The 24,310-nt window shown below is 36.9% G+C and overlaps 1 protein-coding gene across 1 annotated transcript in view; it reads left to right on the forward strand.

Annotated features, from left to right (window-relative positions):
• Positions 1–24,310, forward strand: part of ITGA1 (integrin subunit alpha 1) — a 171,294-nt gene that overhangs the window by 37,129 nt on the left and 109,855 nt on the right. The window lies entirely within an intron of this gene.

Below are 24,310 nucleotides of genomic sequence, written 5' to 3' on the forward strand. Positions count from 1 at the left end.
TGTCTGTTTCAGAACTTTTGTTACTACATCCAGTGGAAATTCTGTATCTGTTACTCTTATTCCTCCCTTCCCTCTGCTCCTGGGAACTACAGATCTGTTTTCTGTTCCTATTAACATGCCGCTTTAAATAATATTTCATATAAATGAAATCAGACAATAAAAAGGTATTTTGTGTCTGGCTTCTTTCACTTAGTGTGATGTTTTCAAGATTCATTCATGTCATAGTATGTATCAGTATAGGCCCATCTTGTTTTAATGCACTTCACTTTATTGTGCTTCATAGATACTGCGTTTTTCACAGATTGAAGGTTTGTGGCCCACTCTTCACTTGAACAAGTAACAGCAAGTGCTCATTTTGTGTCTCTATGTCACATTTTGGTAATTCTCGCAATTTCAAAATTTTTCCTTATTATTATATCTGTTATGGGGCCTTGTGATCAGTGGTGCCAGGAACTGTGCCTATATAAGATGGAAATTTTGATAAGTGTGTGTGTTCTGACAGCTCCACTGACCAGCTGTTTCCTTCTCTCTCTCCCTTTTCTTGGGCCTCTCTATTGCCTGAGGCACAAAAGTATTGAAATTAGTCTAAAATAGGCAGGGCACAGTGGCTCATGCCCGTAATCCCAGCACTTTGGAAGGCCAACACAGGCAGATCACAAGGTCAGGAGATCGAGACCATTCTGGTCAACATGGTGAAACCCCGTCTCTACTGAAAATGCAAAAATTAGCTGGGCGTGGTGGCGCCTGCCTGTAATCCCAGCTACTTGGGAGGCTGAGGCAGGAGAATCGCTTGAACCAGGGAGTCAGAGGTTGCAGTCAGCTGAGATCATGCTACTGCACTCCAGCCTGGGTAACAGAGTGAGACTCTGTCAAAGAAAAAAAAAAAAAAAAGGAAAGAAGTTAGTCTAAAATAACCTTACAGTGGCCTCTAAGTGTTCAAGTGAAAGGAAGTCACACATCTCTCACTTTAAATGAAAAGCTAGAAATGACTGCGCTTAGTGAGGAAAGCATATTGAAAGCCAAGATAGGCCAAAGCTAGGCCTCTTGGTCCAGTTAGCTGAGTCATGAATGTAAAGGAGAAGTTCTTGAAGAAAATTAAGTGCTACTCCAGTGAACACATGAATGATAAGAAAGCAAAGCAGCCTTATTGCTGATATATAGAAAGTTGAGTGGTCTGGGAAGGTCAAACTAGCCACAACAGTCACTTAAGCCAAAGCCTAATCCAAAGCAAGATCCTAACTCTCTTCAGTTCTATGAAGGCTGAGAGAGGGGTGGAAGCTGCAGAAGAAAAGTTGGAAGCTAGCAGAGGTTGGTTCATGAGGTTTAAGGAAATAAACCATCTGCATAACATAAAAGTGCAAGGTGAAGCAGCAAGTGCTGATGTAGAAGCTGCAGCAAGTTATCCAGAAGATCTAGCTAAGATAATTTGGTAAAAGTAGCTACACTGAACAACAGATTTTTAGTGTAAATGAAACAGCCTTCTAGTGCAAGAAGGTGCCATCTAGGACTTTCATAGCTAGAGAGAAGTCAGTCTGGATTCAAAGCTTCAAAGGACAGGCTAACTCTTCTTAGGGGCTAATGTAGCTGGTAACTTTAAGGTGAAGCCAAAGCTTATTCCAAAAATCCTAGGGCCCTTAAGCACTATGCTAAATCTACCTACACTCTATAAATGGAACAACAAAACCTGAATGACAGCATATCTGTTTACAGCATAGTTAACTGCATATTTTAAGCCCATTGTTGAGATTTACTGCTGAGAAAAAGAGATTCCTTTCAAAATATTACTGCTCATTGGTGATATACCCAGTCACCCAAGAGCTCCAGTGGAGATGTACAGAGATAAATGTTGTTTCAATGACTTCTGATACAAGATTCATTCTGTACCCATCTATCAAAAAGTAATTTTGACTTTCACGTCTCATTATTTAAGAAATACATTTCATAAGACTATAGCTGTCATAGATAGTGATTCCTCTGATGGATCTAGGAAAAGTAAATTGAAAACCTCCTGGAAAGGATTTACCATTATAGATGCCATTAAGAACTTTTTTTTTTTTTTTTTTTTGGTTTATGGGAGGAGGTCAAAAGATCAACATTAACAGGAGTTTAGTAGAAACTGATTTCCAACCCTCATGGATGACTTTAAGGAATTCAAGACTTCAGTGGAGATAGTAACTGCAGATACGGTGGGAATAGCAAGAGAACTGGAATTAGAAATAGAGCCTGAAAATGTGACTGAATTGCTGTGATCTCATGATAAAACTTTAGTGGATGAGTTGTTTCTCATGGGTGAGTAGAGAAAGTGGTGTCTTGAGATGAAATCAATTCCTGAAATCAACTCCTGGTGAAGATGCTGTCAACATTGTTAAAATGACAACAAAGAATTTAGAATATTCCATAAACTTAGACGATAAAGCAATGTCAGGATTTGAGGATTGACTCTAATTTTGAAAGAAGTTTTTCTGTGGGTAAAGTGTGATACAAAAGATGCTCAACAGCATTAATCATTAGATATTCAACCGTGGGTAAAATTGCATGCTACAGAGAAATATTTTGTAAAATGAAGAGTCAATTGATGTGGCAAACTTCATGGTTTTATTCTATTCTGAGAAATTGCCAGAGCCACTGCAGCCTTCAGCAACCACCACCCTGCCCAGTCAGCAACCATCACCATTGAGGCAAACCCTCCACCTGCAAAAAGATTATGACTCACTGAAGGCTCAGATGATTGTTAGCGTTTTTAATCAATAAATTATTTTAAGACTAAGGTATGCATATTGTTTTTGTAGAAATAATGCTTTGTGTACTTAATAGATTACATTGTAGTTCAAACACAACTTTTATATGCACTGGAAGACCAAAAAATTTGCATCACTTGCTTTATTGCAGTGGTCTGGAACCAAACCCGCAGTATCTCTGTGATGTGCCTGTACTTCATTCCTTTTTCATAGCTGAATAATATTCTATTGTATGGATATACCACATTTCATGTATCTATTTAGCAGTTGATGGACATTTGAGTCATTTCCACCTTTTTGGCTATTGTGAATATTACTGCTATGAACAATTGTGAACAAGTTTTCTCTGAACATATGTTTTCAATTCTTTGGGGGTGATATACCTAGGAATAGAATTGTTGACTTGTAGGGCAACTCTATGTGTAACTTTTTGAAGAACTGCCAAACTGTTTTCCATAGCAACATTACCACTTTACATTCCCACCAACAATATATGAGAGTTCCAATTACTACACATCCTTGTCAATCCTTATTTTCTGTTTTTGTGTTTTTTTTATTATGGCCATTCTACTGGCTGTGAAGTGATATCCCATTGGGGTTTTAATTTACCTTTCCCTAATAATTAATGCTGTTGAGCATCTTATTATGTGCTTATTGGCCATTTGTGTAACTTATTTGGAGAAATCTCTATTAATATTTACTCATTTTTTAATTGGGTTGCTTGCCTTTTTGTTGTTGAGTTGCTTCTTATTTTAAAAGAAATCAGACTCAAGAGGACTTTAGTTGCATGGGAAATATTCTAGGTCTGGGTGATGGTTTCATGGATGTGTTCACTTTGTGATAATTTGTGCACTTATATATTTCTCAAAAATGAGCATGTGTTTCCTTTCTTGAATGTATTAGTTTCCTAGAGCTACTGTACCAAATTAGTACAAACATTAGTGGCTTAAAACAATATATTGTCTCACATTTCTGGAGGCCAGAAGTCCAAAACCAAGATGTTGGCAGAGCCATACTCCTTCTGAAGCCTCTATGGGAGAATCATTCCCTGCCTTTTCCAGTTTCTGATGGTTCCTGGCAATCCTTAGCATTGCATGGCTTCTTGACACTTGATACTAATCTCTAACTTTGTCTTCACATGGTCTTCTTTCTCCCTCATGTTTCTGTTTTTGTATATAGGTATCTTAAATACTCCTCTCCTTTCTCTTATAAGATTACCAGTCATTGAATTTTGGCCCCACCATAAAAAACAGGATGATCTCATTTAGACATCCTTAACTTAAATACTTCTGTAAAGAACCTATTTCCAAATAAGGTCACATTTACAGATACCGATACCGGGGATTAGGACTTAGACAAATTTGTGTGGGGGAACACAATTCAGCCCACTATAATGAACATATATTAGGCTTCAGTTTTTAAAAGATGGCTTTAAAAAACAAAATGGAAAACAATTTTACTGGTCAGATGTGGTGGCTCATGCCTATAATCCCAGCACTTTGGGAGGCCGAGGTGGGTAGATCACTTTAGGCCAGGAGTTCAAGATGAGTTTGGTCAACATAGTGAAACCTGTCTTTACCAAAAAAAAGTAATAATGATAATAAACATTTAACAAAAAGAAAAAAGAAAACTACTTTAGAAAAATGTGGTAGTCTAGGTTTCTGAGTCAAAATATCTGTAGGTTAAGGAGGAAAAAAAATTCACGGGATGCTCACCACCATAAAAGTTAGAAATTCTTAATTTTTGAAAAATGATCTCACTGTTTAAAAAGCACAGTTAGATGGAAAAGGGGACTTATATAAAAAAGACTTTCAAAGGATATTTATCTGTTGTGGGTTTTTTTTTCATTTTTTGGAGAGGAAGCTAATGAAAACAGTTCAATACTCATTTATGTAGAGAATATCTTTCAAGACATTAAAAAGCATATTTTTAGTATTGCCAAATACAGAGATTTCTATTAAAATTTCCAGAAGACATTTTTTTGTGTGTGTTCACACTGTTACCCATGGCACATTCCTGGTTTTTTGTTTTTGTTTCTGTCCTTAAGTGATCAATAATATTGGTATTTGGTCATTTTGAACATTGTGATCCTTACCTTTGGACTTGTTAACAACTGGCTGAGGATTCAAGGCATAAAAGGAATATTATGCTTACTATTGAGCCTCAGCACCTTTGTATTTTAATATGACATGTGGCTGATGATCAACCTTGCTGGGTCTCATTTCATATATCAGTTAAATAAATATATGAATGAAGTAATATTTTCTTCCCAAGAGTGATATTTGATTCAATAGATTAAAAGTTATTTGAGTCCCTAAACATAAAAAAGCCAGTAGGGTATAGTAGCTCTGTGGCAAGCAATTTTAGTATCAGAACACATGAATTTAAAACTTTGGACAATGGCCTTATTCAGAACACTAAAAGCTTAGAAGCCTACTCTTTAGATTGTAGTGCTATTTTGGAGGCATATCTTTTTTCTTTTTTTCTCTCAGTTTTTCTTTTTTGGATAGTATTCCCTGTTAAGAAACAGATGATGAGGCTTTAATTCAGTACATTCTCAAATTGTTCCCACTACAAAACTTATTTCAAAGATAAACTTTGGAAGTTTTCATAGGTAGGACTGTAAGAATGTTTTAAATAAATCCTAATCATTTTACCAGAGAGTATACCTTAAAACAAATTTTTCTGGCTTTATTTGACAGGTTTTTTAAAAAAAATAACTTAGTCATTTTTAAGTTGATTGTAGTTCATCCAGAAAGTTACTCCATGTTGGTAAAAGGTTAAAAATTAAGAGAGTCCAATTTTTGAAAATTTTCACAAAGTTCTTTTTATACTTTTAAATTAGTCAAAGGCCAAGTATTTCATAAAGTGTTGATGTAAATTGTGTTACTGATCTTTGATCATAATGTGGAATAGTAGTTGCACTCAAGATATGAAGGAAAAATATGTTACAGGGTTTGGCTTTGAAATAACTGACATACAGCAGAGGCACTCACCCTAACATACTTTCCATCTATACGCCAGGCAGGGCTGTCAGTTTGTGGAAAGGCAAACTGGGACCTCCCTCAGCTCTGCCCTCCTAATAAGACCATCCTGACACAAAGCAGCAATTATTCTTTGATGACATCACCACCGTCTTGCCCTTATTTTTATGTGCATAATGGAAGATTTCAACTTTAAATCTGACCTAGCCATGAAAGTCAGTGTGAGTCCTGCATCATGTTTTCATCCTGCTATGTTTTTACTTTCTGGTAGTGCTTTTAACACAGAGAGTTTCCAACTTGAAATATAGAGACCTTTTAGGAAGTTTTTTACATAGGAATCACCTGTCTAATCAACTACAAGAGGTCACACTTTTTTTTTTCCTTTGAGATGGAGTCTCCTCTGTTGCCTAGACTGATGGGCAATAACGAAATCTTGGCTCACTGCAACCTCTGCCTCCTGGGTTCAAGCGATTCTCATGCCTCAGTCTCCCGAGTAGCTGGGATTACAGACGTGCACCACCACACCTCGGCTAATTTTTGTATTTTTAGTAGAGATGGGGTTTCACCATGTTGGCCAGGCTGGTCTCGAACTCCTGACCTCAAGTGATCTGCCCACCTCAGCCTCCCAAAGTGCTGGGATTACAGGAGTGAGCCACTGCACCCAGCCAGAAAGTCACACAGAGGGTTACCCAAACTAAGTCTCAAGATACCTGTTTCTAATGACTTTTAGATAGCATAGACCTCTTTATTGATTAAATAGGAAAGAGAAAAGAAAAAAAAACTCTAGAATTTTTAGGATTCATAAAATTGGCATCACAATAACAGTAATCACTTATGGCTCCTAAGAATTTTTTCTTTTTTTTTTTTAACCTTAAAGATTAGTTAATTTAATTACATCTTAAATACATCTCGCAAGTGACTACAAATTCTTTGAGGGCAGAGACAATATATTTTTTTTACCTTTTAATCCCTTAAAGACCTTCTACCTTTCCTTTCACATGGGACTTTTATTAATGTCCGCTGAATGAATATAACATATTCATAATATAGTCATGTCTATACATTGATTAACATATTTGTTATCAACTGCAGAGTAGGCCCAGTCTTTCTCTTTTACTCTCTGTCCTTTTAAGAATTTTAAGAGCTTTTTGGGGAAAATAAAGTAAGAAGAAAACAATGAGTCATGTCTTTGTAGCCATCTAGATTTCTTAGCTCTGTTGCCTCATTCTTCCTCCTCATTCTTCCCCCAGCCACGGTGGAGAAATAAAGTTGTCTGGGGGCTCATTACTGGACTACCCAATCTCAGTTCCCTTCTGTACTTTAGAACTCTCTCCTTCCCTCATCTTGATTTCACTAGGCCACACTATAACCCTGCTTCCTGGAGAGAATCAGACCCATGTAAGCTCTTGAGCCTCCTGTTCCATGGATCTCTCCACCAAGACAAGAGCCTACTCCAGGCTGCCAACCTGAGATTAGAGAGTTCATACTCTGATTGGTCCCCATAGAATTAATCAACGGTGGCCAAGAGTGTAGGTAACTAGATGGCTCATTCAGATCTGATACTCATTCCTGGACTTGTCAGCTGTGGCCTGGGTGGCAGAGTCACTTAAAAACATTGCAGCATCTTCAGAAATCTTTGGTTGGAGTAGAATAGATGCCAAAAAAGGTAGTTGTTGGCTTCTGATGAAATGGAAGGGTCAAATTAAATAATAGCTGAGGTCTCATCCCTTCTACCCATAAGATTCTATGATTTATCACTAAAACAATCACATATTAGGAGGTCATAAATAATTCTACACAAGTTCTTCTAATCTCCATATTTTCTTACACCTATGGTCAAATACATCTCTCTTGCAAGAATTATATAACCAAATATTACATACACTATGTTAGAATAAAGAATGAACACTATCACTAGAACTTGGAAGCAGATTTAAATACTGAAAAATATTATAGGTATCGAAAAGACCCTTTTTATTCTGGCAGAAATATATAAATCTGTGTGTGTGTGTGTGTGTGTGTGTGTGTGTGTGTGTGTGTGTGTGTCTTCTGGTGCTATTTCTCAAAAGAGTTTTTTTTTGGTAGATTTTTTTTGGTTACTTTTTTATTTCATTTTGTTAAGCCATCAAAAGCTTTGAGATTGGGCTGGGCATGATGGCTCATACCTGTAATCCCAGCACTTTGGGAAGCCAAGGTGTGTAGATCATTTGAGTTCAAGAGCTCGAGACCAGCCTGGCCAACATGGTGAAAACCCATCTCTACTAAAAATACAAAAATTAGCTGGGCATGGTGGTACACACTTTTAATCCCAGCTACTTGGGAGGCTGATGTGGGAGGATCACTTGAACCCAGGATGTGGAGGCTGCAGTGAGCCAAGATAGTGCCACTGCACTCCAACCTGAGTGACGGACCGAGACTCTGTCTCAAAAAAAAAAAAATGCTTTGAAATTAGCCTTTACCTGTGTGTACTACAATTTAAAAGGCCATCTTTGAAAAGACAGTAAAACAGACTTTTACTATGAAAAGCTACCATCTGGAACCCTTAGTAAACTGACTGTTGTCTCATAAAGAGTACAACCAAGCCTAATGCAACTTAATTGTTCACACAGTTATGTAAGATGTACTTCTTCTATAACTCTACAGGACTTAAAAGAACTCATAATACTATATGATTGTATTATGGGTTCCATAAAACATTATGACAATGTATTTTCTGGAAAAATGTTTCCTAGTGAACATGCATACCCCAGACATTTTACCTTTCTCTTAAATTATTCCATCTGATTTTACTACCTTGCTCTTGCTAGAGTTAAGAGTTTTCTGAAAGCTTATTCAGTGTTAACTAATGTTACTTTTCCTGGGCCATTTTTGTTGGTATTGAGTTTTTTCTTTATGTGATCATAAAGTTATAGTTTAGAACAAGGTTATTTTGTTGCAAGAGTCTATTTAGGTGTAATATTTTTTAAGCAAATTGAAGTTGTTCTGATAAATGTTTATCTAAATTAAAATATAACTCCATAAACTATGATGTGGCCATTTAAAGGGGAGGTATATTAACTTTGTGGAATTGTGCCATTAAAGACAAAGAAAAAGAAAAAAGAAAAGCAGTTGGCTGGATGAAGTAGTATAGAATTGCAAACTTACATGAGATAATAATTAGAATCAATAAGACACCTAATGGAAAAAGAATATTCATATGATATATTCATTCATTCAACAAATTTTATTAAACACATCATCTACCAATGAATCTATGAAGATCAGGTACTTTAGCAATATAGAACAATGTACAATAACACATAACATAAGACAGTCCATGTGAAGGCAGTTCATTCCTGGTGTGGTGGCTCTATTGTCAGCATAACCCTGTGTTACTTTCATCTTTCTGCTTCAGCACCTAGCACATCACTTCTGTTCAAGTTCACTTCATAGTCCAACAGGGCAGTTGAAGCCTGTCTTAGTCTGCTTAGTTGCCATAGCAGAATACCATAGACTGGGTGGCTAATATAACAGAAATGTATTCTCCCTCTGCTCTAGAAGCTAGAAGGCCAAAATCAAGTTGCTTTCAGCTTGATTTTTGATGAGGCTTCCCTTCCTGTCTTGTAAATGGCCATCTTCTTGCCGTATCCTCACACGGCCTTATCTCTGTGTACATAGTGGAGAGAGACAGAGAGAAAGGGGGTGGAGAGAGAGAGAGGGAGAGAGAGACAGAGAGAGAAAAAGAAGGAAGGAAGGAAAAAGAGAGAGAAAGAAGAAAGGGAGAGGAAGAAAGAGAAAGAAAGAGAAAGAGAGAGAGAAAGAGAGAAGAAAGAAAGAAAGAGAGAGAGAGAAGAAAGAGAGAGAAAGAAGAAAGAAAGGGAGAGAAAGAAAGACAGAAAGAAAGAAAAAGAAAGAGAAAGAAAGAAAGAAAGAGAAAGAAAGAAGGGGAAGGAAGGAAGGGGAAGGAAGGAAGGAGAGAAAGAGAGAGAGAGATCTGGTATCCCTTTCTTTTATTATAAGGACAATGGTCCTATCAGATTAGGGCCCCAGTGGTTGTGATTTCATTTAACCTTAATTACTTCCCTAAAGGCCCTATTTCCAAATGCTGTCACTTTAGCGGTTAGGGCTTCAACATATGAATCTCAGGGGACACAATTCACTCTATTGAGTGAACGCTAACTATTATACAAGAGTTCATAACTGAGAGAAGGACAAAGAAGAAAGGTAGAAGAAGGATAAAAGAGAAAGTAGAAGGACGTAAAAGGCATTCTGAGTTGAATCAGTTCTGCACAGGGGATTTCTGGGATATCCCATACAATACTTCCACTTACTTTTTTTGGGCCAGTATTTAGTCGTACAGCTATGCTATCTACCTGTTGTCTTCTGGCTGTGTACACTGCTGCCCCAAGTAAAGATTTTATTACTAATGAAAAAAACGGATATTAAGAGCTAATAAGCCTTCTTAATCATATCCAGAACTGTGCTAGGCGTTGAGAATGAGAATATAAGTTCTTATTTTTAAGTACTCTAAGGAATTCCCAGTCTAACAGGAGACTAGTACATGTAAACCAGTTACCTTTAATATAAAGCGATACATCCTATGGGATAAATGTGTACAAGTTCTGCAAAAACAGAGGAAGAATGATTATCAACGGGGGAGTTGGGGAGAGTTCACCAGGCTAAGAATTGAAGAAAGGAATTTCCAGAAGTGGGGAAAACTTTAGCAGAAGTTCGATTGAGAATACAAGATGTTTCAGGGAACTGCGCATATTGAAGGGTGGCCATTACTTGACATTCTGAGCCAGAGTAGTAATGAGATTGGAAAGGTCAAATGAGCCCTCATTTTAATGGGTCTAAAATGGTGCTTAAAAAGTGGGACAGCATTTATTGGGTGATGAATTTATAGATGTGTGTGTGTATATATTTTGATACAAGAAACCCTTCTGAAGAAATTAGTTATTAGATTCCATTGATGTCACAAGGTGTTCTTTTTGTTGTTGTTATTGGTTCGTTTGTTCTAATTTCTGCCCTTTTCAAGATTCAAATCACAACTTAAAAGCAAGGAGTTGCAAGAATATATGGAATGGTGAGAAATGATTGATGTTAGAAAGCTTTCGAAAATTGCAATACATAAGGAAAATTGTCCAATGCACATTCTTATTTATCTGCATTTATCTTTCTATATCCTGTTGAACTTTGCCGATAATTGTAGAAACACCTTGGCATTTCTTTCTTCCATCTTTATATTTTCTTGATATCATTAGAAATAGATGTTCAGTCTACCTCTTGCATGCTGACCAATCCTAAATTGGGCGATGACCTATTTATTTTGCATCTTCCCTGAATGCTTAATCTTCATGAACTAGAAATGGCCAGTAGAAAGTCAGTAAGTGTTACTTAATTTACTTCCGTATTTATTAAATTTCTCCCAGAGTAAGGAATTATGAGTTCCTGGAGCAGCACATGTGTCTCTTTCTTACAGAAAATTTCAGTTCCATGGTGAGGATTATTTGCACATCTCTGAAGAGGCAATGGTCCATCCAGACAAAATAGCACAGAGCCAGTACATAAAATAAGAAAGTGGACTGTGGACAAGTCCTGACAAAATTATGGAAAGAGGAACTAGTGAAAATTCTAGCAAGTCAGTATCTTTTCTGGCCAGTACATTTGTGTAAGCAAATTGAACTTTAATCATAATATAGTGCCAATTTGATTTCCAAAATCTTTGTCTTTTTTTGGTCCCGCCTTGGAAGTTGAATCTCAGTCATGTACACCAGAATATGAATGCGAGATGACAGCTCCCATAACAAATCACCCTTGGCCAGATTTCCGCCACTTGGTTGTTCATTTTGCCTACCTCTGAAATTAGCAAATCTCTGCCTTTGTCTACTTGTGCCTTCTCAGATCTGCTGCTCCTGGCCCATTCCTTGATCTCAATGTGGCTGAAAGTATTAAGATTTTAGAGCATGTATAAAGATAATAAAGGTCATTCAATCAAGCTCTTCTATTTTGTGCATTTTTTGCTTCTCTAAGAAGCAAGAATGGCACTGTGATTTCATTGTTGAAATAGTTAAGAAAATAGGGGACAATTTTGATAAAATTAGAAAATCTTAGAGAAGTATCCTGTTACTACGTCTTCAAATGTATAATGATAATTATACAGGAAAATTTAAAGGCATTTTTATCATAAAATGCTTCAAGCAAACGAGAAAATTATGAGGAATAATATATCAAATAGCAATGTGCCCTCTACCCAGCTTTGCAAAATCTAAACATTTTTCTGTAATTGTTTATTTTTCATAAGAAATAAAACTTTATTAGGATTTTTGAGAAAGTCCAGTAAAGACCAAACCTCTTCCTCACTTGAGATCAGAACCAATTGGGAAATGACAAAGAATCAGACTGATGAATCAGCATGGCTGATGAATTAAATTCCCACTACTGAACCGTAGAGGAGGCTGTCTACACTCCAGCGCCAGCCGAGAGCCTGACACTGGACGAACAAAGCAAAGCATTTTCTTAACGTAGGCAGGCTCAGTTCTAAAAGAAAATGAGAAAGAGAGGATGGGGCTGGCCACACAGTGTCTCCTTCCAGACTCACCAATCAATTAGTGTGAAGGAAGGGCAGGTTGAGAAATAGCCGAGAAGTATTACAACCGGTGAGGCACTCACCCCATGGAAGGAAATGTCAGAAGTGGAAAGTTAGCATTTCCCTCTAAAAACATATAAAGTTAAAGCCATGTTTTTATTCCCTTTTAGACCCTATTTTTTCCTCCCCTTCTCCCATGCAAATGTAACCTCTACCCTGAATTTTAAGATCCTTATATATAACAAATACTTAGTCACTAGTGTTGTGATTCTAAGTATCAGAATGCTTCCATTTAAGGGAAATATTGGCTGCCGGTTCTTGGGGATATTGACTATAACATCTGCAGTTACTTCAGTTTCAAGATACTCTTGTAGACTAATGGAAAGAATGTAAAAGATGATGCTACTAGATAGAAATAGAGTTTGGATCGAAGGATGTTACTGCCCAACTAATGTTCTAAGTGCTGAAAGATCATCCTGGTCTTAGCAACAGCAATTATAACTAAGAAAACAAAGTTTAGAGTTATCTCAAAACAGAAAAGAAAGCATCAAAAAGTTATCTCTTTCCTCTGAAACAAAAATAAGCATTCTAGTGACCCTTGCCTTCTGAAATATTTCAACATTCCAAGCTACTGAGACTTTTCTTATTTTCTTATAAACAAACTTTAATGCCCTTTAAAATACTTTCTGATTTCTTTTCTAAGCGTTTTCAGGTGAATAACAAGTTACATTCGTTTGGCTTATTTTCTCTTCATAAAATGGACAAGTTTTTAGTTGAGCAGAGGAACCGAAAAACTTCTGAATGAAGGAAATATTTGGTAGTGAATGATATAATGGAAAATTGCTATAATAAGTAGCTGGGAAGAAGCAAGGAAGGGAGAGAAATTATACAGAATCATTTTAGTTTAAGTGGCAGTGTATGATTAGAAGCAGTACTGAGACATTGAGAAAAATAGTCTATTACATACCATAGGAAAATCAACAATGGCATCTCTGAATATGGAATTGCTAGTTAAAGCTACTAGGTGACTCTAGGATGGACAATTTTTTTTAATAGGTTTTTGGTTTTGGTTGAGGTACACTGTCAGAGTGTGCACAGTATTTCATTTTGTTAGTTAGCTTCATGAAGACCTTAATTTATTAATGTTAATGATTGACCACTTGTGTGTTAAACCAGAAAGTATTTAGTCAGTTGAATTCCATCACAAAAGAAATGTTATGAATCCGTATATTTTGCCTCCTGTTTCTGAGAAATATGGCAAATAAAAAAAGAGAGGTCAAACTAAATCTAATACCTCTTTAAGTCCCACAGCAAAATAAAACATAGGTAGGCCTCATTTTATGTTTTGATTATGTCTTGAAAACCTTGTATACAAGTTAAAACATTTGTAAAAGTCTAGGCATGCTTCATTTTTGAAATAATGTGGTAGATAACTTAAAATGCCAGTAATTATTTTCCAGTCTAAATAATCACAACATTGAGTCAGGTGTGGTGACTCACGCCTGTAATCCCAGCACTTCAGGAGGCCGAGGCAGGCGGATCACTCGAGCCCAGGAGTTCAAAACCAGTCTGGGCAACGTGACGAGCACTTTTCTATACAAAAAATACAAAAATTAACCAGGCATGGTGGCATGTGCCTCTGGTCTTAGCTACTTGGGAGGCTGAGGTGGAAGAATCACTTGAGCTGGCGAGGCCGAGGCTGCAGTGAGCCATGATTGCACCACTGCATCCTAGGCTGGGTGACTGAGTGAGACCCTGCCTCAAAACAAAAACAACAACTACAACAACAACAACAAAGTCACAACATAATTTAATAGATTTTTTCATATGTTGGAATTTCACTAAGTGAAGAATACCTGTTATATGTTATATGTTATAGGTGATACCGTAAGGCATATGAATGATCATATTTCTAAAAAACTTTTTACTTTGGCTCCTAAATTTCAATAATCTAAATAAATACTTTGAGGTATATTTGAATATGTTTTTTGTTTTCATTCATTTCTATTTTATTTTTATTTACATCTGAATGTGTTTTCACGAAACAATTTTAGCTCCAAACTCCAAATTGCACTATTAGGGAAAGGGAGAATAGCTTTTGGCTCTTCTTGTACTATTTGAACATTAGGTAACTGGTTACTGTCTTCTGCACACTTTTAGGATGTCATTGGTTCAATCTCAGGGTCAAGTCTTACCCAACTGTCCTATGTACTCTGTCCATTCATGCCTTAAAAGAAAGAACCTGAAGAAAAAGTTGTACCTTTATTAGCAGGTTCTTTTAAATGAATTTTATTAATTAACATATAATTTCTTCTCAGTAAGATATGTGAGCTGGCAACACATTGCCAATCCTATGGTTATTTTTGTTAGTATGCACAATAGGTAGTTTCATGGGTCAGGAAAGCAGAAATAGTATACAAGGTTAAAGAAATGATTTTCAGTTCTCTAATTTCCACTGGAATTATTAAACATATAAATAAACAAAAAAGAAGTAAGATAACTCACTGTCCCTAGGTGAAGCAATGAAAGTAAGTGAAGTAGTAACTGTGTCTCCTGTTTCACCCTCATGCTTGGAACATGTGTATGCCTTCAAAAGCTCACATCCAAGTCATCCAGAAAAATTAGCCTGTTAAATAGTATAGGAGAATCAACAATGGAATCTCTTAGTGCCTGGAATTTGCAATTGCCAGTTAAAGCTAGTAGGTAAATTAAAAATAATTTATTTTACAGTGTATACTACCTCTTTGCTTTACTGACCCTCAAAAACGCCTGCTGTGTATACTAACAAAAATACCTTTATAACTGGCAATATCTTACTGAGAAAAAGTTATAAGTAAATGAATAAAATTCATGGAAAATATTCCACTAACGAAAGTACCACTTTTATTCAGATTCTTATACATGCAAAGGCTTACAATATCATATTTCTGGGTAAATACTTAAATAGGATGCCACCCTGCTTTGTTTTGAAGCGTAGTACGCCTTTCCGTATGCAGTGCTCCATGCTGTGCAGTCACGGAAATTAATGAGTTCAGCGTTCAGGATGCCAGGGCAGCTGGAGAACAGAGTTCTGTGCTCATGTGGCTTACACAAACACACGAGTTGTGTTTCCCACAGTGGGATCCAGGGACCCCTGAGGTTCTGCAGCTTTTTTATTTGGTGAAACATAGATCCGAAAGATGATGCTGATGTGGTGAAGGGGGTTGGTTTCTGAAACTGTTTAAGAATTTTAGAGATCAAGAGTAGGTCTGAGAGGAGCTGGCAAAGCAGGCATTTATTTGTGGTGGGAGGATATGGGGAAAGAGCAGATGTCTGTAGATACTACAAAGGAAAATAAACACCATGAAAGAACAAACTTATGTAGAAAAATTTTAAAGGAAGATTTTTTAAGAAAGGATGTTTGGGAAACACTCTAGGAGTTATTCTGGGTAGCACTTATAAAATGGGACAACTTCTTACAGCCAGAATGACCTTTATACTGAAAGTCTTCATTTCTTTTGATTTATTCCATCCTGTCCCATTTAACAAACTTGTATTAAACAGCTACTTTGTATCAAGAACTATACTTCCTTGCCTCCTTTCCACCAGACACAGATATACACATATACACACACTCACTTTGAAGTTCAAATACCATTTGTAATAACTGGAGACCCACAGGACTTTAGCACTAAAAGTCAAAACAATTCGCTTGCTATGGCAAGATGAAGTTAAAAAGCAGCTTCCCAGGATGAAACTTGGAAAATGCTTAAATACTGAGGTGTTTATTTGGATTTGCTTTTCTAAACTTGTTGATGGAGGTAGGTATCTTGCTGACATATTACATCATTTCTGATGAAAGAATTTTAGTAAGATTTCTTGAGCCAGATTTTCTTCTTAACATTAATTGTATTGGGAAGTTCCAATTGTTTGAAGGAGACACTGAGTTGGATATATTATTTTTTACATCAAATATAAATTTTCTGTATTTGAGATTATGATGTCATTTCCAAATGGTTGTGTTGCTTCTGTACTCATTGGCCAAGGCCCTATAATTATTTGTCATATTTTAATTCTCTTTGTTCCCCATATCTTTACCACTAGAGGTCTGTGGCTCCTCCTTCTCAAGGTTATGGTGCTATAAAAATACTCATTTCAGATTTCAAACCAACTAGAATGATGTAGTACTATAGAGTTTTTGGATTCAGTTATACTTTGAGTCAAATTTTATCTTTTACAGCAACCATATACATCCACACTGAGATCAAACTCACTTAACCTATTAAGAGTAATAAAACTGATTAAAATTTCCAACCCATAAGACTAATATTATAAAGTTGTTATACATTAAGGAAAAGGGCTTCCAACTTTCACAAACTCTTATTACTAAAATGTTTTTCTTCCAACCTCCTGTATTGCCTCAAAATGGAATATATTTCATCTGAATTTAGTAGGTAAAAGTAAATTTGGAGTTATAGAAAATACTTAATATATCACCTTTTAGTTACAGTGAGAATATATGACTTTAGGAGTTTATACCATGTGAATGGGGTGAATTAACTCTTTCCACCAGGAGGCTTTGGCAAGAGGTAAGAGCTACCAAGAATGTACCAGGGCTCAGGCTTGGGGAAGAGAGGGGCCTCTCCAGCTCTTCATTATAGAGCTCATACTTTCTAGATATGCTGTCTGATTCTCAGGTGGTTCAGGTCGGTGAATTCCTTAGTAGAATATTAATATACTAGAAAGAGTCACTGCAGGGTCACCCTGTCCTTGTAATAGACTTGCAACCCTTAAAATAGGTTAGAGGGGAGTAAATTTTCATTAGAGTGAAAGAAGGCCCAACTTGTGATTGGCTCAGATCCTAGGTGGTATCACAGATATGCATCATGTTTTGAGCAACTGAGATGAGAATCCAAGGACTCTAACTGAATGGAATGGTGTCATCTGTACTCCTCCTCCCTGGCTAGCTCTTCCACTTAGAAGGCCTGACACCCTCATCTTAGATTTTCTTCATGTATGTCATTGCAGCCAAGTTTAGAAACAGGAGATTTGCTATGAAAATAAGTCCATGAATCTGCTGTCTCATCCCCACTGATGTAACATACCTGTATTGTGTTTCAAGATACAGTCATCAAAATTAGGGAAAAGTCCTCTTTTGAAAGAAAAATCAACTGCCAAATGGTATACTGATTCTTTGGATTCTACCTACGAAATCAGTTAGCTCATTTTTTGATTATTCTCTTTTGCTAAATGCATAATTTGTATTTCTTGCAGCAATTAATACCTGAAAGTTATTTGTAAGCTCATTTCAAATGTGATAAACTGAGGTTCATAGAGGTGAAATCACTTGCTTTTTTTTTTCAGGAGCATCATCTTTTTTTTTTTTTTTTGAGATGAAGTCTCACTCTGTCACCCAGGCTGGAGTGCAGTGGCACGATCTCGGCTTACTGCAACTTCTGCCTCCCAGGTTCAAGCAATTCTCCTGCCTCAGCCTCCTGAGTAGCTGGGACTACAGGTGTGCACCTCTATGCCCAGCTAATTTTTTTTAATGTACTTTTAGTAGAGATGGGGTTTCACCATATTGGCCAGGCTGCTCTTGAACTCCTGAATTGAGGTGATCCGCCTGACTTGGCCTCCCAAAGTGCTGGGATTTCAAGTGTGAGCCACCGTGCCTGGCTTAGCATCATCTTTTTATGACTGTATTTCCAGGCCCTACCATATATTCAATTCAGAGTAAACACTTGGTTATATTTGTGGAGTAGTGGAATATATGAATGATTGAATAAATAATATAGATGAAAAGATTAGTTCCTGTATCTCCAGGGATCACTATCTTTCTATACCACCAAAGAATTTGCCCTAAAACCATTCACTGTAAAAACATAATTATGATTATATCTTGTCTTAATCTTATGTCATTATTTCATTCCTTATGTTAAAAATAATAAAAATAATGTTAATTCTATGATTTCTCCTATTTCTAAATTGCATAAACATATGTAAGAAGCTACTGAAATAAAGCAATAGCATTTTAATACATTCCCTTGTCACCATTTATTTGATACCCTCTTGCCTTGGCTTGGAATTTGCAATATTCAGAATTGCATTTGTTGTTGAATATTCCTATCTGGATATTACTAGATTGGGATTTCTGACCCACCTAGTCCAAAGACAGAATTTCTTTATTAAGAAGCCAACAACTAAACAGGCTACAGTAATACTCCTTGGAACTCAAGGATGCGTACAAGAGGGTGGCTTCCTTCAATCTGTCAACAGCCTCTGTCACCTCCATTTATCCTTTTTCTGCCAGTCCTATTCTCAAATACTCCAGAGCTACAAGATGATTAAGAGCCATCATGAGACTTTTGAGGATTGTTGTGAGCTGGGTTGTTATTTTTATTTTTATTTTTATTAATCAGACCAACTCAATAGCACCCTAGTTACAGAAATCCTATGATTTGGCCTCATAAGATCAATGTTGAAATCTTGCTTCTGTCATTAATGCAACCTGGCTTTTGGCAAATCACTCAACCTCTCTGAGCTTCAGTTTCTTAATACACAAAAAGAGGGGAATGTCTGCTGTCCTGCCTCACCTCCTCAAATTATTGAATAGCTCAATATCATTACTGTTATTATTATTATTATATTTTAAAATGTTTGTAAGCAGAAAGCACTGCAGAGCTGTAGGTTGCTTCTCCCTCTTTCTCACTTAGTTTTCTTACATATCAAATTCCATCCTGGGGTAAAGTAATTGCTCACAATTTCTTTTTATAAGAGATATCCTTCAACACCAGCAATTTCATCTTTCTCTTTTTTTAACTCTTGCATATATAGCATATATAACCATATTTGAATGGGAGCAAGTCTTTTCATTTCTTTTCTACTTGGACCTATAAGTTCTAGCTGAAGTCCTTCAAGAAGTTAGATCTGGAGCTCTGTGGCCAGGACTTTTCTCCTTACTCAGACTTTCCAGTCATTCCCCAAATCCTTTCCAGCCCATTGCTATTGTAGAAAAGTCTTCTCCCCAAATTTGCCTCTCAGGAGATGCAGTTATGCAGACTAATATGTGGCTGTCTTCTAAGCTCATCCTCATATCACTTTGTACTAGCCCTTTCTAGTTTTAGGACTAAGATGTAAAAATTGAATTAATATGAATAGTGGTTACTACTTTGGATTTGGAAGCCTGTGGAAATGTGGGCACATTTCTCTGCCTTCCCAAGCTTTCTTCTCCTTATTTTCAGAATGATGATAGTAATGGTATTTAATTATAGAGTTGCTGGCAAATTAAATGAGAGTAACACATGGTTAGTACACAATATAGTTATTATTTATAAGGGGAAAAATTACTGGTTTTCAATTGCTGGTACATGTGAAATCAGAATTTCTTTTGACATCTGTCTTATCTATGTTTATTTCCCATTATTTTTTGTATTTTTTCTATATTGTCTCTGAAGCCACCTCTGTGTTTTGCTTTTCTGGGAGTGGAAGTGGAGGCTCGGTTGTGAATAAGTACAATTTTGCTTTACTTCTGGTACATAAAATTCCAAGACAACTTAGTATAACAAAATTCACATTGAACTAAAAGTTATGAAAAGCTGCTTTTACTGTTTACTCACTCCTTTAAATCAAAAGAACTGGATGTAAACTATTTTTTTATGTCATCTCCTGTTCTTCAGGCTCTTCGGTGCCTCAGAAAACATAAAAGAGTCTGATTTACAATCATTTTGGGCAAATTGCCTGTAGAATTCTAAGGACAGGAAATGAAAAAAGAAGTACAGCACACACCCCCAGACATTCCACACAACATGTAGAATAAATAAACAGCCCCAAAAAGGAAACCAAAACTGCTTGGTCTTATGTTGAGGAGGGGGTACCACAAATGGCTTTTGGAGAAAATGTATTAAAGATGATGACATGCTAGAAAAATCCTTCAGGGGGGTGAAATTGACCCTGATTAAAGATGATCCTTTTCCCCTTTTCTCTACAGCATAGTGAGTATTTTTTATTTAGATAACTTCCATTACCTGTATTGACATTATGAAAAAGAAATACCACGTTACAGAGCTGTGCTTTCCAAACCTTAATAGGCAGGGCTGCCCTGGGGATCTCGTGGAAGCGTAGGTAGTGATTCAGGGAATGTGGATAGGGCCTGAGGTTCTGCATTATTCACAAGCTCCCAGGTGATACAGATGCTGCTGGTTTATGAGCCGTGGTTGGTTTTCGGTCATCTTCTTCAACAAAATAATTGGTGGTGATGTTCTTGTCTTCATCTGTTCAAGAGTGGTTTTCAACTGGGGACAATTTTGGCCTCATGGGAATTTGGCTGTGTCTGGAGATTTTTGATTATGACAACTCATGAAGTGCTATTGGCTTCATGTGGGTAGGGGACAAGGATGCTGCTAAACACTCTATAGTATAAAGGATAGCCCCTTATAACAAGAATTTTCTGACCCAAATGTGAATAGTTCCAAAGTTGAGAAACCCTGCTGCAGAAGTATTATTTTATGCATTTCTTGTATCAAAAAATACTTTCTTGAAATTGTTCAAAAAATAAATACACAAAACCTGTGAGAGCAAAGAATAGGAGCATCTACTACAGTCATGCATCACCTAGCACTAGGGATGTGTTCTGCAAACTGTGTCCTTAGGTGATTTTATCATTGTGCGAATATCATAGAGTATATTTACACAAATCTAGATGGTAGAGCTACACATCTAGGCTGTATATCGCCTATGTCTTCTAGGCTACAGACCTCTACAAGTGGTTACTATACTGTATACTGTAGGTCACGGAAGCACAATGGCGGCCGGGCGCAGTGACTCACACCTGTAATCCCAGCACTTCTGGAGGCCAAGGCAGGTAGATCATTTAAGGCCAGCAGTTTGAGACCAGCCTGGCCAACATGGCGAAACTCAGTCTCCACTAAAAATATAAAAAAATTAGCCAAACGTGGTGTCAGGCACCTGTAATCTCAGCTACTCAAGAGGCTGAGGCATGAGAATAGCTTGAAGCCGGGAGACAGAGGTTGCAGTGAACAGAGATTGTACCACTGCACACCAGCCTGCACAACAGAGTGAGGCTCAGCCTTAAAAAAGAAAAAAAAAGTAAAGCATTAGTGTGTCTAAACATATCTAAACATAGAAAAGGTACACTAAAGCTATTGTATTATAATCTTATGACACCACCATTGTATATGCAGTTTGTCATTAACCGAAACATCATTATGCAGTGCATGACTATTTAGTTTAGAGAGTAAGCAGCATTTAAAACTGTCTTCAAATATGTGAAAGACTATTATGCAGAAGATGGTAACCAGCTGTTCTCTATCACGCTGGAAGAATGAACAGGAAATGTACATAAAAGGACCCGTGCAATTCACCCATTCTTTTTCTGCTTCCTTCATGCCAGCTAGACAAATCTCTTCATGATCTTGCAACCATATTTGTCCTGGCCTGTGTCTTAATACTTGCAGAGACCCTCCCAAATCCTGGGTACACATTTTCTTTTCACTGCCAAATCTCATCTCTTTCTCCCTTTAAAAATCTTAATTGAAAATTTCTATCTCCATAAAATCTTCCTTAACTAAGATGAAATAGTTGCCAGTTCATCTTTAACTAGAGCTGGCATACTTCTTCCTTCAACATGTTATCTGTCAGTCTGAAAATATGTTACTGCCCATCTGTGTACAAGGAGTTGTGCTAGATTTTGATAAAGGATTAAAAAAAGGTAAGTAAGAGAGTCATTGTTTTTAGGAATTTTCCAATTTGGGGGGAAAAATCTGACACAGATAACTATATAGTATTTAATAATTATCTCCATGAGAGGTTTCTTAAAAAATAAGAAAGGAGGTTTTAGAAGTTTAAAGATTACTTCTAGGTAGGGAGGTCAAGAAAGACTTTACAAATAGATATATGGGTGTATCTTTTTTTTTGTTTCTTTGATGAATTTATTCTTCAAGGAAAAAGCAGTTACTATTGTCGCCAAAATTTAAAGATTATAAATTAGAGTAGTGTGGATTTAAAGTATATTTATGAAAAAAGTTCATAGTGAGCAAGGGTTAAAATATTAGAGTGATTTAATCCACTCACAATTTATAAGACTAGGAAAGATAATTTTTCAGGATCTATGTGGCTATATGGTGGTTTTAACAAAGAAGACTGAATTTAGCCACCTCTGAATGTACCTGATGAGGCTCTGTAATTTTATAAGACAGTGCTCTTTGGAAATAATTTTGTTTGTTTGTTTGTTTGGTTTGTTTGAGACAGTCTTTCTCTGTTGCCCAGGCTGGAGTGCAGTGGCACAATCTTGGCTCACTGCAACCTCTGTCTCCCAGGTTCAAGCGGTGCCCCTGCCTCAGCCTCCCGATTAGCTGGGACTACAGGGGCATGCCACCACACCTGGCTAATATTTGTATATTTTTAGTAGAGATGGGATTTCATCCTGTTGACCAGGTTAGCCTCAAACTCCTGACCTCAGGTGATCCACCCACCTCTCAAAGTGCTGGGATTACAGGCATGAGCCATCATGGCCCCCTGGAAAGAATTCTTAGTTACATCTAGGAGAAGAATATTTTGGAACTTCACAAGCATACTTTAAAAACCAGTACCAAAGCAGGAATTTGGCACCATCCATTTGAGATGGTGATTCTAGAACTTCTTTAGGAGACAGTCTTACTTACTAAGAGTTTCCACAACCTGTACTATGAGAAAATTAAAAAGAATTAACCCTCATCAAATATGTAGTATGTGCCAGGCACTGGGTAGACCCTTTAGATATATCATGTGATTTAATCTGGATAACAACTGGTGAATTTATCAACACCAACATTATAAGGAGGCTTCAGAGAATTAGTATAAATTTCCATCCAATTAAGGAAGGGAAACAGAGCAAATCTCAGGCCTGCATAGGAAGCCATCTCTGAGTGGAGACCATCAGCTTGCCTTTTCCTTTTGAAGCAGCAAGGACAACATCTATTTTTATAAAGCTTTACATGGTGATATGTGCATTCTCTGTAGTTGAAATGGGAAAATGAGCTGTTCAGAGTTCATTGATGGCCATGGTTTTCTGCAGGGCTCACTGCTGGAAAACTATCTGCAACTGTATTAGTCATATATGAATCTGAGTTTCTGCCTGCTCTTTTCCACACATTCTGAAAACCTCAGCTCTAGGAATGGTACAGATATTAAATTAGTATGGAATTTTTTTGAATGTTAATATTTGTGTTCTTTAAAGTCATTATGGTTTTTTATTTTTTATTGTATTATTATTATTTTTTTATTACACTTTAAGTTCTAGGGTACATGTGCACAATGTGCAAGTTTGTTACATATGTATACATGTGCCATGTTGGTGTGCGGCACCCATTAACTAGTCATTTACATTAGGTATATCTCCTAATGCTTTCCCTCCCCCCTCCCCCCACCACACAACAGGCTGCGGTGTGTGATGTTCCCCTTCCTGTGTCCAGGTGTTCTCATTGTTCAATTCCCACCTATGAGTGAGAACATGCGGTGTTTGGTTTTTTGTCCTTGAGATAGTTTGCTGAGAACGATGGTTTCCAGCTTCATCCATGTCCCTACAAAGGACATGAACTCATCCTTTTTTATGGCTGCATAGTATTCCATGGTGTATATGTACTACATTTTCTTAATCCAGTCTATCGTTGATGGACATTTGGGTTGGTTCCAAGTCTTTGCTATTGTGAACAGTGCCACAATAGACATACGTGTGCATGTGTCTTTATAGCAGCATGATTTATAATCCTTTGCATATATACCCAGTAATGGGATGGCTGGGTCAAATGGTATTTCTAGTTCTAGATCCTTGAGGAATCGCCACACTGTCTTCCACAATGGTTGAACTAGTTTATTTGGTTTACAGTTAGTAATACAGTTAAGAGTGGAGACCTTCCTTGAGTTTTCATTCTTTGAGCTTCTTTTTTTTTAATAGAAACAGCTTTCGATGGTAACCTTAACCATGCCTTCCATAACTCAAAACATGATGGACTCTTAGTTAACTCTATGTAACTGGATTTTGTTTT

This window comes from Homo sapiens, chromosome 5 (genome assembly GCF_000001405.40).
Source record: "Homo sapiens chromosome 5, GRCh38.p14 Primary Assembly".
Taxonomy (NCBI): Eukaryota; Metazoa; Chordata; class Mammalia; order Primates; family Hominidae; genus Homo; species Homo sapiens.